Source organism: Homo sapiens, chromosome X (assembly GCF_000001405.40).
Source record: "Homo sapiens chromosome X, GRCh38.p14 Primary Assembly".
Lineage (NCBI taxonomy): Eukaryota > Metazoa > Chordata > Mammalia > Primates > Hominidae > Homo > Homo sapiens.
The window spans coordinates 99,850,154-99,866,954 of record NC_000023.11 but is presented as its reverse complement, the minus strand read 5'-3'; positions in this window follow the sequence as shown (position 1 = coordinate 99,866,954).

Sequence of the window (16,801 nt, the reverse complement as noted above, 5' to 3'; positions counted from 1 at the left end):
TCATGGTGGAACGGGAAGCAAACACATCCTTCTTCACATGGTGGCAGCAAGGAAAAATGGCAAGCAAAAGGGAAAAATAGCCCCTTATAAAACCATCAGACCTCATGAGAACTCAGTCACTGTCATGGGAACAGCATGAGGGTAACCTCCCCCATGATTAAATTACCTCCCACTGGGTCCCTCCCATGACATGTGGGGATTATGGGAACTATAATTCAAAATGAGATTTAGGTGAGGACACTGCCAAACCATATCACTTCAGCACTTTAAATGTGTCATGCCACTCTGTCCTGGGCTGTAAGGTTTACACTGAAATGTTTGCTGCCAGATACATTGGAGCTCCATTATATGTTATTTGTTTATTTTCTTTTGTTGCTTTTAGGATCCCTCTTTATCCTTGACCATTGTGAGTCTGATTATTAAGTGCCTTGGAGTAGTCTTCTTTGGGTTAAATCTGTTTGGTGTTCTATAACCTTCATATACTTGGGTATTAATATCTTTCTCTAGGTTTGGGATGTTCTCTGTTATCCCCTTGAGTAAACTCTCTACACCTATGTCTCCCTTTACTTCCATTTTAAAGCTAGTAACTATTTGATTTGCCATTTTGAGGCTATTTTTTTTTTAGATCCTGTAGGTGTGCTTTATTGTCTTTCCTTATTTTCTTTTGTCTCCTCTGACTGTGTATGTTCAATTTGCCTGTCTTCAAGCTTACTAATTCTTTCTTCTGGTTGATTGGTTCTGCTATTAAAGATTCTGAATTTATTCTTCAGTATGCTAACTGCATTTTTTTCTTTTTTTTTTAGGTGACATAGAATTGAATTTTATTTTTTTTTCTTTTATTATTATTATACTTTAAGTTTTAGAGTACATGTGCACAATGTGCAGGTTAGTTACATATGTATACATGTGCCATGCCAGTGTGCTGCACCCATTAACTCATCATTTAGCATTAGGTATATCTACTAATGCTATCCCTCCCCTCTCCCCCTACCCCACAACAGTCCCCAGAGTGTGATGTTCCCCTTCCTGTGTCCATGTGTTCTCATTGTTCAATTCCCACCTATGAGTGAGAATATGTGGTGTTTGGTTTTTTCCTCTTGCGATAGTTTACTGAGAATAATGATTTCCAATTTCATGCATGTCCCTACAAAGGACATGAACTCATCATTCTTTATGGCTGCATGGTATTCCATGGTGTATATGTGCCACATTTTCTTAATCCAGTCTATCATTGTTGGACATTTGGGTTGGTTCCAAGTCTTTGCTATTGTGAATAGTGCCGCAATAAACATACATGTGCATGTGTCTTTATAGCAGCATGATTTAGAGTCCTTTGGATATATACCCAGTAATGGGATGGCTGGGTCAAATGGTATTTCTAGTTCTAGATCCCTGAGGAATCGCCACACTGACTTCCACAATGGTTGAACTAGTTTCCAGTCCCACCAACAGTGTAAAAGTGTTCCTATTTCTCCACATCCTCTCCAGCACCTGTTGTTTCCTGACGTTTTAATGATTGCCATTCTAACTTGTGTGAGATGGTATCTCATTGCAGTTTTGACTTGCATTTCTCTGATGGCCAGTGATGGTGAGCATTTTTTCATGTGTTTTTTGGCTGCATAAATGTCTTCTTTAGAGAAGTGTCTGTTCATGTCCTTTGCCCACTTTTTGATGGGGTTGTTTGTTTTTTTCTTGTAAATTTGTTTGAGTTCATTGCAGATTCTGGATATTAGCCCTTTGTCAGATGAGTAGGTTGCAAAAATTTTCTTCCATTTTGTAGGTTGCCTGTTCACTCTGATGGTAGTTTCTTTTGCTGTGCAGAAGCTCTTTAGTTTAATTAGATCCCATTTGTCAATGTTGGCTTTTGTTGCCATTGCTTTTGGTGTTTTAGACATGAAGTCCTTGCCCATGCCTATGTCCTGAATGGTAATGCCTAGGTTTTCTTCTAGGGTTTTTATGGTTTTAGGTCTAACGTTGAAGTCTTTAATCCATCTTGAATTAATTTTTGTATAAGGTGTAAGGAAGGGATCCAGTTTCAGCTTTCTACATATGGCTAGCCAGTTTTCCCAGCGCCATTTATTAAATATGGAATCCTTTCCCCATTGCTTGTTTTTCTCATGTTTGTCAAAGATCAGATAGTTGTAGATATGTGGTGTTATTGCTGAGGGCTCTGTTCTGTTCCATTGATCTATATCTCTGTTTTGGTACCAGTACCATGCTGTTTTGGTTACTGTAGCCTTGTAGTATAGTTTGAAGTCAGGTAGCGTGATGCCTCCAGCTTTGTTCTTTTGGCTTAGGATTGACTTGGCAATGTGGGCTCTTTTTTGGTTCCATATGAACTTTAAAGTAGTTTTTTCCAATTCTGTGAAGAAAGTCATTGGTAGCTTGATGGGGATGGCATTGAATCTATAAATTACCTTGGGCAGTATGGCCATTTTCATGATATTGATTCTTCCTACCCATGAGCATGGAATGTTCTTCCATTTGTTTGTATCCTCTTTTATTTCATTGAGCAGTGGTTTGTAGTTCTCCTTGAAGAGGTCCTTCATGTCCCTTGTAAGTTAGATTCCTAGGTATTTTATTCTCTTTGAAGCAAAAACCGCTCAACTACATGGAAACTGAACAACCTGCTCCTGAAGGACTACTGGGTACATAACGAAATGAAGGCAGAAATAAGGATGTTCTTTGAAACCAACGAGAACAAAGACACAACATACCAGAATCTCTGGGACACATTCAAAGCAGTGTGTAGAGGGAAATTTACAGCACTATATGCCCACAAGAGAAAGCAGGAAAGATCCAAAATTGACACCCTAACATCACAATTAAAAGAACTAGAAAAGCAAGAGCAAACACATTCAAAAGCTAGCAGAAGGCAAGAAATAACTAAAATCAGAGCAGAACTGAAGGAAATAGAGTCACAAAAAACCCTTCAAAAAATTAATGAATCCAGGAGCTGGTTTTTTGAAAGGATCAACAAAATTGATAGACCGCTAGCAAGACTAATAAAGAAAAGAGAGAAGAATCAAATAGACGCAATAAAAAATGATAAAGGGGATATCACTACCGATCCCACAGAAATACAAACTACCATCAGAGAATACTACAAACACCTCTACGCAAATAAACTAGAAAATCTAGAAGAAATGGATAAATTCATCGACACATACACCCTCCCAAGACTAAACCAGGAGGAAGTTGAATCTCTGAATAGACCAATAACAGGCTCTGAAATTGTGGCAATAATCAATAGCTTACCAACCAAAAAGAGTCCAGGACCAGATGGATTCACAGCTGAATTCTACCAGAGGTACAAGGAGCAACTGGTACCATTCCTTCTGAAACTATTCCAGTCAATAGAAAAAGGAGGGAATCCTCCCTAACTCATTTTATGAGGCCAGCATCATCCTGATACCAAAGCCTGGCAGAAACACAACCAAAGAAGAGAATTTTAGACCAATATCCTTGATGAACATTGATGCAAAAATTCTCAATAAAATACTGGCAAACGAAATCCAGCATCACATCAAAAAGCTTATCCACCATGATCAAGTGGGCTAACTGCATTTTTTTCAGTCCAGAATTGTTGCTTGATTGTTTGTAGTTATTTCAATATCTTTGTTAAATTTATCTGATAGAATTCTGAATTCTTTCTCTGTGTTATCTTGGATTTCCTGGAGTTTCCTCAACATAGCTATTTTGAATAGCTTTCTCTGTCTGAAAGGCAACATATCTGTTTCTTCATAGTCGATCCCTCATGCCTTGTTTAGTTCATTTGGTGAGGAAATATTTTCCTGGATCATTTTTATACTTGTAGACATTCATCTGTGTCTGGGCATCAAAGAGTTAGGTATTTATTGTTGTCTTCTCAGTTTGAGCTTGTTTTCACCCATTCTTCTTGGGAACACTTTCCAGATATTCGAAAGGACTTAGATTTTGTGATTTAGGCTGTTTCTGCTTTAGTGGGGACCCCAAGCCCAGTAATGCTGTGATTCTTCCACATTCTTAGATGTACCACCTTGATAATCTTGAACAAGTTCTTGAAGATTTCTCTGGATTACACAGGAGAGATATTTGTTCTCTTCTGTTACTTTCTGCCAAACAATCAAAGTTTCTCTCCCTGTACTGAGTAGCCTGGAGTTGTAGGTGTGATGACACAGGCATCTCTGTGACTACCACCCATAAGATTGTGCAGGGTCAGACCTGAAACCAGCACAGTACTGGGTCTCACCTGAGGCCTGCTGTAATCACTCCCTGGCTACTACCCATGTTTGTTCAAACTTCTGGCACCCTACAGTTAGCAGGTGGCAAAGCTAGTCAGGCCTATGTCCTTCCCTTCAGGGCAACAAGTTCCACCAGGCCTTAGGATGGTCAAGATGTACTGTCCAGAAGCCAGAGACTAAAGTCATAAACCTTGGAAATCTACCCTGTGTTCTATTGTATTGTGGCTGATTGACACTCAAACAACAAGATGCAGTCCTTCCTATTTTTCTTTCCCCTTTCCAAAGGCAGAGGATCCTTACCCCATGGCCATCGCCACCTTACACCCACAGGGAGTACTGCCAGACTACTGCCAATCTCCCCTTAAATCCCAAGGATTCTTCATTCAGCTTGTGATGAATGCTGCCAGGCCTGAGGCTCATCTTTTAGGGAAGTGGGCTCCCTTCTGGCCAAGGGCAGGTCCAGAAATGCCATCTAAGAGCCAAGTCCCGAAACTGGGGACCCCAAGTGCCTGTTTGGTACTCTACCCCCATGTGGCTGAGCTGGTACCTAAAGTGCAAGGCAAAGTCATCTTTACTTTTCCTTGAACTTTTTTTCAAGTGAAAGGAGTCTTACCCTGTAGCCACTATAGCTGGAAATGCGCTGAGTCTCACCTGAAGCCAGCAAGACTCAGAGTCTCACCCAAGGCCCTCAACATAGCACCTGGGTTATCACTGCTGGTTATTCAGGGCCCAAGGATGCTTCAATTAGCAGGTGATGAATTATGCCAGGACTGGGTTCTTCCTTCCAAGGCAGTGGGTTCCTTTCTGGCCTAGGGTGCATCTAGAAATATCATCCAAGGACTAGTGCCTGGAGAGGGAATCTCATGACTCTGACGGGTGCCCTATCCTGTTGTGGCTGAGCTGGTATCCAAGATATGAGACAAAGTTCTCTGCACTCTTTCATCTCTTTTCCTCAAGCAGAAAGGAGGGGTCTCTTTTGGAATCATGAGTTGTGCATCCTGGGGTTTGGGGAAGAGTGATGGCAGCACTCCCTTAGCCATCCCAGATAGTGTCTCAGTAGTACACATACCCCCCAAAATCCACTGGCTCTGGGTCCATTTCAAGACTAGCACTCCCTTAGGTGTTGTAGCCCTCATGGTGTAGACTGCCTTTCAAGTTTATATGAGGCCCTGAAGCACTTTAGCCCGTGGTGTCAAGACTTGCGGGCACTCAATTTGGAATGGGTGTCAGCTGAGTTTGGTCCAGTTTTACTTTCTGCTATAACAAGGTCTGCACTGAGTTCAATGCCTCACAATTGGTGTGTTCTCTTGCCCCTAGCATTCAGAAATGCTCTCTGCACCATGCCACCACTTCTGGAAAATGGGGGAGTGTTTAGCCAGTAATTTAAGAGTTTTTCCCACCACTTCAGTGATGTGAAGTTAATCTACCTACCAAGGGGTGGAGAGGGAATGATTGGCGGAGCTTTCTATTCTGCATTGTTGCCCCACCCCTCCTCTAATTTGTCTTAAAATGTTTAGTGCACTGGCTAGGACTTCCAGTAAAATGCTGAATAGAAATATTAAAACTAGGAATTATTGTTTTGATCCTGATTATGAAGAGTATAATATTCCACTCTTAAGTTTGTTCTAAGCTTAGTTATTGTAGATATTTTCATCAGTTAAAAATGTTTCCTTCTCTTCCTACCCTAATTTTTTTGTGAACAGATGTTCAATGTTTTTCAATTTTATTCACATGTTGATATATTCATATTATTTTCTTCATAAATGTTATAATGTAATGAAACATATTACATCTTACTATATTGATCAATAGGGCTTCTAATATTCACCCAATCTTTTGATCTGAGAATAAATCTAACGTGGTCATATCATTTTTTAAATTGTATTATTGTTTTGTTTTGCTAATATTTTAAGATTTTCCCATTATATAAATGAGTAAAATGGGCTTCTGCCTTTTCTTTTTCAAACTGTCTTTACTTTGATATCCAGGTCCATCTAGGTCATAACATTGGTTGTGGAGTTTTCCTTCTTTTTGCTGTTGTGGAAAAGCTTATTTGATATTATAATTATTTGGAACTTTAACATTTGGTAGAACTTGCCAGTGAAGTCATCAAACGTTGAAGTTTTTATTGTGGAAAGGCATTTAACTTGCATTATTTTTAAAATAAGTGACTGCAAGCCTATTCTGGTTTTCTATTTATTTTCACAAGGAAGATTGTTCAGGATATCCAATTTATCATATTATGGGAAAAAGAAGTCACTTCCCTACCTAGAAAGTAATGCCTCCTCTTCTACACTGAGAATCACTTATCTAATGTAAATCATTTGTATCCCTATAAATGAGTTCATACTTACCCTTATATTGAGGAACCTGAAACTTTGGCAGTTTATTAACTTGTGCATGGTGTTGGAATAGACCACATGTTTCTTGACTTTTAATCTATTGTTCTAGGTCCCAGTGATTTTTTTTAAAAAATCTTTTGTTTTTCTTTGATTAAGACAGTTTTTTATTTTCTATCTTTAGTCACAGAATGTAAAGGTGTGGCACAGATTAACAGAAAATTTTAGCCTAAGTTGTAAAATAATTCTTCCTTTTATCTACTGTTGTTAAGTGGAAAAACTTTATTTCTTAAAGTTTCCATTACAATGAAGAAAGCTTCATAGTGAAGAAAACAACCTCTCTTATTCCTTTTCAGGAGAGGAAGATTAGCTTAATTTTATTGTTAAGTTTAAATAAACAGAGCCTATACATCCCTAGCATTTCCTCTATTATTTTCTTAGAAGTGAACATATCTACAGAGAGCAGGTTTTCTGCTCTGATCCTTCAAATACTCTAAAGGGGCCTGCTCCTGTGAGAGAAATGTATGCTAGTCTAACAGCACCAAGACTGGGTAGAGAAACCTGTGGAATTCAATAATAGGAAATCAACTTGATGACAGATATAAGCTACATTTTCCAATATAAGCTATAATAGTAACAAAAGTAACATTTTGAGTGCTATCTGTCTTACAATCATTTCTCTTCACATGTTCAGATTGTGGACAGAAAAATACAAACTAGAGCTCTCTTAAACCCCAATTTTGGTGTGTTAGACTGAGATCCCTGATAAATTTTGGGACAACAGAATTGTCGACCAAAATAACATATTTATGACCAGGGTAGACAACTTTGGCTTTGAACTTCAGTGTGTTGACTGGACATTTTACTTTGGCAGTTTGTAATGGCTTTTATTGGGCCACCCTTTTAATGATCCCTACCTTCTAATATTCATACCCTTGTGTATTCCCTCATTCCATGATTTTGAGCTGCACCTAGCAATTGTTTCTAACAAATAGATATACAAAAAGTGATAGGATGTCATTTCCTTGATTAGGTTACAAAAACATGTGACTTTCATTTTGCTAGCATTTTCCCTATTGGCTGTTGTCTTGCATGTTTTAATGAAGCAAGCTGCCATGTTGGGGAGGTCCACGTGGCAAGAAATTGAGGGCAACTTTCATCTAACAGTCAGCAAGTAAGTGAAGCCTTGATTCCAGCAGCTGACAAAGAACTGAATGATGCCAATGACCATAGGAGTGAACATGGAAGTGGATGCTTCCTCAGTTAAACTTTCAGACGAGACCGCAGCTTCAGGCAACATCTTGATTGCATTTTTGTGGGACACCCTGAGACAGATGACCCATTCAAACCATGCCTAGGTTCCTGCTAAGCAGAAACTGTAATGTAATAAATGTACCAAATTTAAGACAATAATCCAATAATAATTTGTTAAGCAAAAATGCATGTTCAATACCATGAGTCACCACAGTTTAGGCAGCTTTATCCAGATGCAAGTTATGCTTTTTATTAAAATAGCTGCCTTGAGTGAAAAGTGAGTCTCTTCCACCTTAAGGAAAATCGAGCATTTCTGCAATGTAGGGGTTGGCAGCAATGTGAGGCCAGCCACAAGCCTCAACCAAGAAGCAGGCCAGGGAGGTTTAGTCTGATATGGTATATTACAGATGGTTTTGGTCAAATGGTGATGGTGGGAGGTTTTCAGTCTATGCCTATTTGACTCTGAAGTATACAAACATTGGCTGAAGCATATGTATGGGGCTTCATGTGATCTTCAGCAGATGCATGAGTATTGCAGAGGCCTTAGTAAGAAAGAATAGCTGAATCAAGAATTCAAAGAAGAGTCTTTCTGGATATCAGCTGTTTAGACAAAGATTATTGACTTCTATTTCATTGTTTCTCAGCTCTTTACAAGCAAGTATACTAAATGCATGTGCATTTCAGAAGACTAGTGTGTTTTATTCTAACTTTAAGGTGTTAGTACCAAACTCATGGAGGCTAGAGTGCCACACTGACTTCTCCAAATTGTTTTCTGTACGTGGGGTTAAGAAGGAAAGTGTGATAGTGGTAACCTTGAATTCATATATTGGGCCCACACTAAAACTCAATTGCCATCTTCCCATCAAATGGTCTTAAATCGAGTCTAGATATATTATTTTCTTACATTTAAATTATGACTTTAGATTACAGACACAACTTGAGACTTTACCTGAAGAAAAGCGGTAGGTTTTATTACTAAACCAACAAATGAATTGTAAAGAAAACATGCCTTCATAGTTTGAGGTAGAGAAACAAGTTAATGAAATGATTAAAAATAAAAATATATGAGGGAAACTAATAAAGCTCATTCCTGGGATTGTGTCTATGGGAATTAGAGTTGTCTAGGGAATCAAGAAGGATTTAGAGTTATTTGAAAAGTATGCTTCAATTTTAATAACAGAATAAGGGCAATAGAAAAATAAAAATAATTAAAAGATTTACTTAGAAGGTAGATAAAGCTCTTAGCATAACAGACCCTATTTTTGTGAAAGGAAAACTGAATTCTCAATGGCCAGAATAGAACGATATAAGAGGGAAATAAAGATTGCTTCATATCTAACTTCTCTGCATAGCAAATTTCTTAAGTAGAAAGTATCCAAGTTTTAACCAGACCAGAAAGAGTGACTAGATCCCAGTAGAAGCTAGCAGAGGAAAAGATGAATGTTCTCAGACAACAATCAGGTATATGATTCTCCAGTAGGGGGCCAGAATCCAGGAGATTATTGAAAGCTTGCAGATAAAGAATCTGGGTGGAAGGTGGGAAGAGTAATGGGGAAAGCAATTTACAGTTAAGGGCAGCTATACCAAGTGATTACAGAAAATCTGGACATTTTTGATGAGACAAAAGTAGAAAGATCTGTGAAAAATAGTATTAAGGAATTATTAGGGGAGTTTCAAGGCAGTACACTTATTTGAGGTAAAAATTTAGTTATAACATGTATTCCAAGAGAAGAAGTTTGAGAAATTTAATGAATTAGGACTCAAAAGAAATGCATATCAAAAATGAGACATGTTAAAGGGGATTGAAACAGGATAATGATCGTTCAAGTTCAGACCTGGGTTAGACATTGATCTGATGGGAGAACATCTCTTGAGTACTATTATTTAAGTGTAGAAGGTGGAGGTGGACATGATTTGTCTGAAGAGTAGATACATTTGACAGGCCCAACTTTTGTTGATTTCATATCTTTCACTATGTGAAAAATGAAATTTAGATGAATATGTTATTAAAACAAATATATGTATCAGAAATCAAATAGAAAACAAAAGGAAAGAGAACACTTAAATTCAATAAAAAATACCAGTTCTACATATGTCAGAAAAGAAAATGGACCAACTTAAGAAGCAGGTTAAGTTGAGTCTTCCTGAAAGGCACAGAGAAACAACAGGGGGAAATACAACTGGGTCATATTCTGCCCCTGAATATGAAAAAAAAAGGAAATGTTAGACATAAATGTATTTATGTCTTAGAAGATTCAAAGGCAGAGGAAAGACATTGACTTAGGAAGTATACAAGAGGGTTGTTAGTCAAACTTAGAAGTGCTAACATTAGGGGCTTGGGTTTTTATATCATGCATAGACAGAAATTAAGCCTTAATCCTCCATGAGGTGAGAGCTTGGACCTAAGACCCCCGAATAAAACTGAGTTTTGAAGAGTTGTACTCTAAGTGACAGGGAAACTAGAAAAGTTTTTCCCAATGCTCCTGAGAGAGGACAAAATTATTTGCCTTACCTTAGACTCTTGGCGGAAAAATGTACTAAACATTGAGAAACTGAAACTATAAAGATGAACTACATACACTATTAAAGAGTGAAGGTACTGTTTCCATAAAGTTAGAGAGTCACCAAAATTAAAAAAAAAAATACATGGAGATAAATCTCAGGTCAGACATATCCCAAGGACGTGTGGAAGAAGAAGCAACACTCATTTCCCATGAATTTTCTATAGAAAAATTATCCCTGCTGAAAATGAGCTCAAAACAAGGAAATGAAAAATGACAATATGCACAAAACAATAATGTATCTTCAGTTAAAGTCAGCAGTCACAACAAATTAGGAGGATAAGCACAGAACATGAGATAATAGGTCAATATGAAAAAACATAAATTAAGTGCAGGTTAATAAAAAAATTAAAAAAATAGAAACCACATGGAAAGAAGAAAACATTATGAAAAAATAATAGTCAAATTTGAAATAAAATACTACATAGAATGTTAAAAAAATGAGATTCAATGGACAAGCAAAATGAAAAAAACCTAAATAGAAAACTATTTACTCAGAAGGTGGATAATTGAAAATGACCTACAGTGCATCACAGAGACATGAAAATATGACAAATATGAAAGAAGTTGAAGAGATATGGAAGACAGATTGGAAAATTATAACATACCTAATAGCTCCATAAGGAGAGAAAAACTAGAATGGATGAAAGATAGAAGGGTACTTAATAGAATCAAATAGTTCTAAAAGGTATCTATTATTTTGGAGGAACTTAAAGGTGTGCATTAGCTTTAAATATTTAAGGTAAAATATGACGGTTAAAAATTTAAGGTTAATCACAAAAAATTCAGAAGTTTATTAAATGGTTGTAAACTAAGAGAGGAGAAAAAAGGGCCTGAACAAAGCTTGATCAATTCAATAGAAGGCATAAAGGAGGAAAACAACAATAAAAAGGATAGCGTGAAAAATAAAAATTACAAAATCAGATTGGAAAAATAAATCAACATGTCATTAATGAATATGTATAAATGGATTTATACAGATATAAGGCAGATCATCAGGTAGATAAAAAAAAATCCAGTTATATACTGTTTATAAATGATACACTTAAACTTTAAAAATGTGGAAAGGTTGAAAACAAATGGATGGGAAAGGTGTATCAGGCATGCACTAAAAAATACATTTGATGTAACTATATTAGTATAAAATAAAATAGACTATATGGAATAATTATTAGAGATAAAAAAGATTATTACATAATGACAAATGGTCACATTCTGCTCAAAGACATAATAGTTCTGGATTTGTATGTAGCTGATACCATAACTTTGGAATATATAAATGCAAATAAACATATAGCTTCATATATTTTTAAAATTATGACAAAGCTACAAGGAGAAATTGACAAATCCATTACAATCGTGAAATATTGTAATGTTCTTCCCTTAATTGAATGATCAAGTATTTTAAAAACATTGAATCGACCAAATCTTAACCACATTTTAAAGAATTTTATTTAATGAATATACATATAATCCTATATCCCACAATTAGGAAATATACATTATTTTCAAACACACATGGAACTTTTATAAATATTGACCAAATATTAGGCTATAAATCAAGTCTCAACGCACAACAAATATATTCTCTGACCATAATGCACTTACATTCGAAATAAAAAAATAAAAATATGACCAACTTACTGTTATTCATTTGAAAAGAAAACACTTCTAAATAATTCATGGGTCAAAGGAAATAGCATATATGGAATAAGAAAAATGTAATTTTAAAACAATAAAAATACTTCACATCTAACTTTGTGGAAATTAAAATTGTACTCAAAAGGGAGTGGATAATGTTAAGTGTATGCAACAGAAAGTAAGTTTTAATACAGAGAATTAATCATGCAATTCAAGAAGTTAGAAAAACAATATGAAAATAAACTCAAAGAAAAAGGACTAAAGTGATAAAAGAAAGAACAAGAATTTATAATGTGATTAATACAAATAAAAAAGAGAATGAACAAAATAAAGGTGTATATTTGAAAATAGTAATAAAGTAGACATTTTGAAATATTGATGAAGAAAAAAAGAGAAGTCACTGAAGACCAGTATAAAAATAATTAAGAAACATAGGTATAAATAAATCACAGATGTTTAAAATAAGAAGATAATACTATGTGAAGTTTTTGCCAGTTTATTTAAAAATATACACAAAATGTACAAATGTATAGAATATTTAATATTTTGAAACCAAATCAAGAATAAATAGGAACTGAGTGAATCCATGAGTCATCAGAAACTCCCCAAAGAAAACCCTCGAGGCCTACCAAAGTTTTAATGAATATTTATTTCTTATCTTTTGAACATTGTTTTAAAGCATGTAAAAAAAAAGAAGGAACATTTTACAACTCATTTATGAAACTATTATAACCTACAGATAAAAGCCAAAATGAGACCAATCTAGTTTATGAAAACAGATGCAGACCTTTTAGTAAAATATTAGTAATCTAGCTACATTAATATATTTAAAAACATATCCTGAGTAAGTGAGGTTTAACCCAGGAATATAGAAATTTTTAATATTGAATGTTATTGTTAAGTCTTTTGATTCTCTAACTATGGCATATCAGATACACAGGGAAGACTCCTGGTGTAGAACATCTAAAATTTATGGAAGGCAGATAAAATTCATTGTAAATACATGGTTGAATGGGTCAGAAAGTAAGCTAAATCAGTTAAGGCTAGAAAAAAATGAGAAAATACAAATTTAGAGAGGAAAGGAAGCAGTGGAGCAAGATTTGTCTCTGGAGCTTCTGATTTCTGGAAATATAATTTGGGTTAAAATGTGCATGCTCTCACTTATACATGGAAGATAGACAATGGGTATACATGAAAATACAGAGTAAAATAAGGGGCATTAGAGACTCCAAAACATGGGAACGAGGGAGGGGTGTAAGGGTTGAAAATTTATCTATTGGGTACAATATTCACTATTCAAGTGATGGGTACATTAAAGGCCCAGACTTCACCACTATGCAATGTATCCATGTAACAAAACTGCACTTGTTCCCCGTAAATCTATAAATATAAAAAATAAATAATTTAAAAAGAACTTGATGAAAATAAATCATATCATGCAGATTTAGAAAAACTGCATCTATTGAAGTTAACATATATAGAATAAACAATACATCTGCTTATTATTTTTGAAGAAATAAAAGGAAGTATTAAACGTATAACAAAGGAGTAGGTGACTTTAAAAAAATGACTATGCAGATTTGAAGAACCAGATAGGACTCCAGAAATATACCCATGTATATATGTACATATGAAATTAGAAATTCAATGAACTAGTTAAATCACTAATTAGGCACAGAAACAATAAAAAAGCTGCAGATTAGATATGAAAATCATGAGACAATGCAGTAGATAGAAAAAATGATGGAAATATGAAAGAGAGATTAAGGGTCATAAATGCTAGAGTGAGAAGATTCAATACACATCTAATTTGAGAAGCAGATAAAGATAATAGAGAAGTTGGGGAAAGGCAATATTGGAAAAATAATTGACCATTTTTTAGAATTGATAAGAAATGTGAATCTTCAGTTTCAATGTCTCAAAAGGCTAATGGATTCCAAGAAGGATAAATGCAAACAAATCCACAATTTGACATTTGATACTAAAATTTTAGGATTCTAAGGAAAACAATAAAGAAGCCAGGGAGGCAAAAAAAAAAAAAAATTAGGACAATAAGATTGTCAGATGACTTCTCGATAGCAGCACTGTAAGCCAGAAAGCAGTGAAATAATATCTAAAGAGTCAAGAGTCAAGACAATATGTAACTGTTGACTTAGAATTTTATACCTAAGCAAAAGAATCTCTAAAACATTATAGCAGAATAGAGGTATATTCCAACAAACAAACTTTGAAGTTTACTAATAACTTTTTCACTAAAGGAACTTCTACGGGCTTCTCTTTATGAAGGAAAGTGATCCCAGAAGGAAGGACAAGTATCAAAGAAACAGTTATAAGGGAATAATAAACATAGGCATAAAACTAAATAAACTTTGACCATCTAAAACAATAGTAAGCAAGTATGTCTTTTAGCTTTTTCTGGAGTTAACCACACCCCCAAATTTCAGTGTCTTACAGCACAAAATATTTCTCTTTTGCAAGTCTATGAGTGTTTGAATCTATGCTCCTTATGTCTTCTCTTTCTAGAACACCAGCTGAAAAATAGCTCCTATCTTGGACATGCTAGTCTCATAGTGGAGGGCAGGGGAGAGAAAATCAAACAATATGATTGCATGTAAAAGATCTGCTGTCAACTTGCATGTTGTCACTTCTGCTAAAATCCCATTTACTAAAGAAGTATCATGCAAAATCCTGACAATGGGGCAGCAAATAATATTTATATCATTTATTCAATTTTCTTCATGTTTTAATTGCATAATATAAAAATAAAATGCATTTTTTGTTTTATTTATTAATTTTGCCTTATCCTATGATATCTAGAATGAAGTCATGATATGTGTGCAAGAATGGAGGTCAGGAAGTCTGATTTATTATCTCAATATCATTACTGGATAACTTGGTTAAGCATTTTAATTTTTCTGTACCTGAAACTGTTTTTTTCTCTTGGAGTCACCCAAGTGAGATATTTGTCATCAAAGAAAACTAGGAGAGTCTTCTCTGGTCCCCAGATTTAACAAATAGACAAACAGTACAAACAGTCAAATGAAAAAATGGAAAAAAGATTACCAGCCAATATAAATGTTAATTGGCTAAGTGCTCAGAATATAACCAGAAATATTTACTGGATAAGCAACAAGGATTACTAGTAGACTACACAGCAAGTACACAGTTTTATAATAAAGCCATGCTTGTAAAATATTTCACACTCTGTTGACATGTTAACAGAGAATTTCACACTTCATTGAAAAGTCATTAAGACAATTACCAGGTCATTAGTGTACACTTTAAGTCTCAGCTTTTAAATTTTATTTTATAAAGAATTCCTTTTGACAGACAGTTTAGCTCTTAGCATGTGCTGAGTCAGGATGAGATCTGCACCATCTTTTCTACCCACTAACAGCTAGCCTTTAGAGACTGCTGAAGGAGTCTTTCTGGGACTTGTTCAGAAAATCCAGGAAATGTATTCAACTGTTTATGACTTGCAGATACATTCAAGTTTCCTAAAAGGAAATCCCTATAATCTGGTACACTGGATTTCTGGCCTAGTGGGACTCCTCAGTGACTGTTAATGTATTTTAAAATATCGGTTATTAATGTTATTTTTAACGTATAAAATCGCAAAGAAAAACATTTTATAATTTAATTATCCATATAGCTCATCTTAATATAGTGTCATTTATTTATTTTTAATTGACACATGATTAATAAGTAATTCATAACTGTACACATTTATGGGGTACAGTGTGATATTTTGATACACGTATACAATGTGTAATGATCAAATCAGGGTAATTAGAATAACAATTACCTCAAACCTTTATCACTTTTAAAGCATGTATCATTCAAAATCCTCTCTTCTAGGGTTTTGAAAAAATACAGTAAATTATAGTTTACCTCGCCACCCTACAGTGTTATCCAAAGCTAGAATTTATTTCTTATTTTGTATCCATTAACCAATCTCTGCCTTTTCTCCCTCCTTCTCTCTTTCCAAGCCTCTAGCAACCGTAATTCTACTCTATGAGATCAACTTTTTTAGCTTCTACATATGAGTGAAAACATGTGCTATTTATCTTTCTGTGCCTTACTTATTTCACTTAACATAATGTCCTCTGGGCTCATACAGGTTGCTAAGAATGACAGGATTTCATTCTATTTATGGCTGAGTAGTATTCTATTATGTACATATACCAAATTTTCTTTATCCATTCACCCATTGTTAGACACTTAGGTTGATTCCATATTCTGGTTATTGGGAATAATGCTGCAATAAACATGGGGGTATAGGTATCTCTTTGATACATTGTTTTCTTTGCCTTTGGATAAATATCCAGTAATGGGATTGCTGGATCATATGGTAGTTCTATTTTTAATTTTTTGAGTACTCTTTCTACTCTTTTCTATGTTGCCTGTGCTAATTCGCATTCCCACCAACAGTATATGAGTTTCCTCCTCTACATCCTTCCCAGCATTTGTTATTTTTTAATCTTTTTGGATATAGACATTCTAACTGGGATGAGATAATATCTCATTGTGGTTTTGATTTGCATTTTCCCTGATGACTAGTGATGTTGAGCATTTTTTTCATATATTTGTTGACCAATTGTATGTTTTCTTTTGAGAAAAGTCTATTCAGATAGAATTATTTTTTAAAGCAATACAAACATATGGTGAGAAAATTTTGTGTATATAATATTTTTTAACTTTTTGCAAAACTAAATATAGCATTTTGCAGACTGATTTTCACACTGCACAAGGTATCAAAATTATCTTGAGAATTGTTCTATAT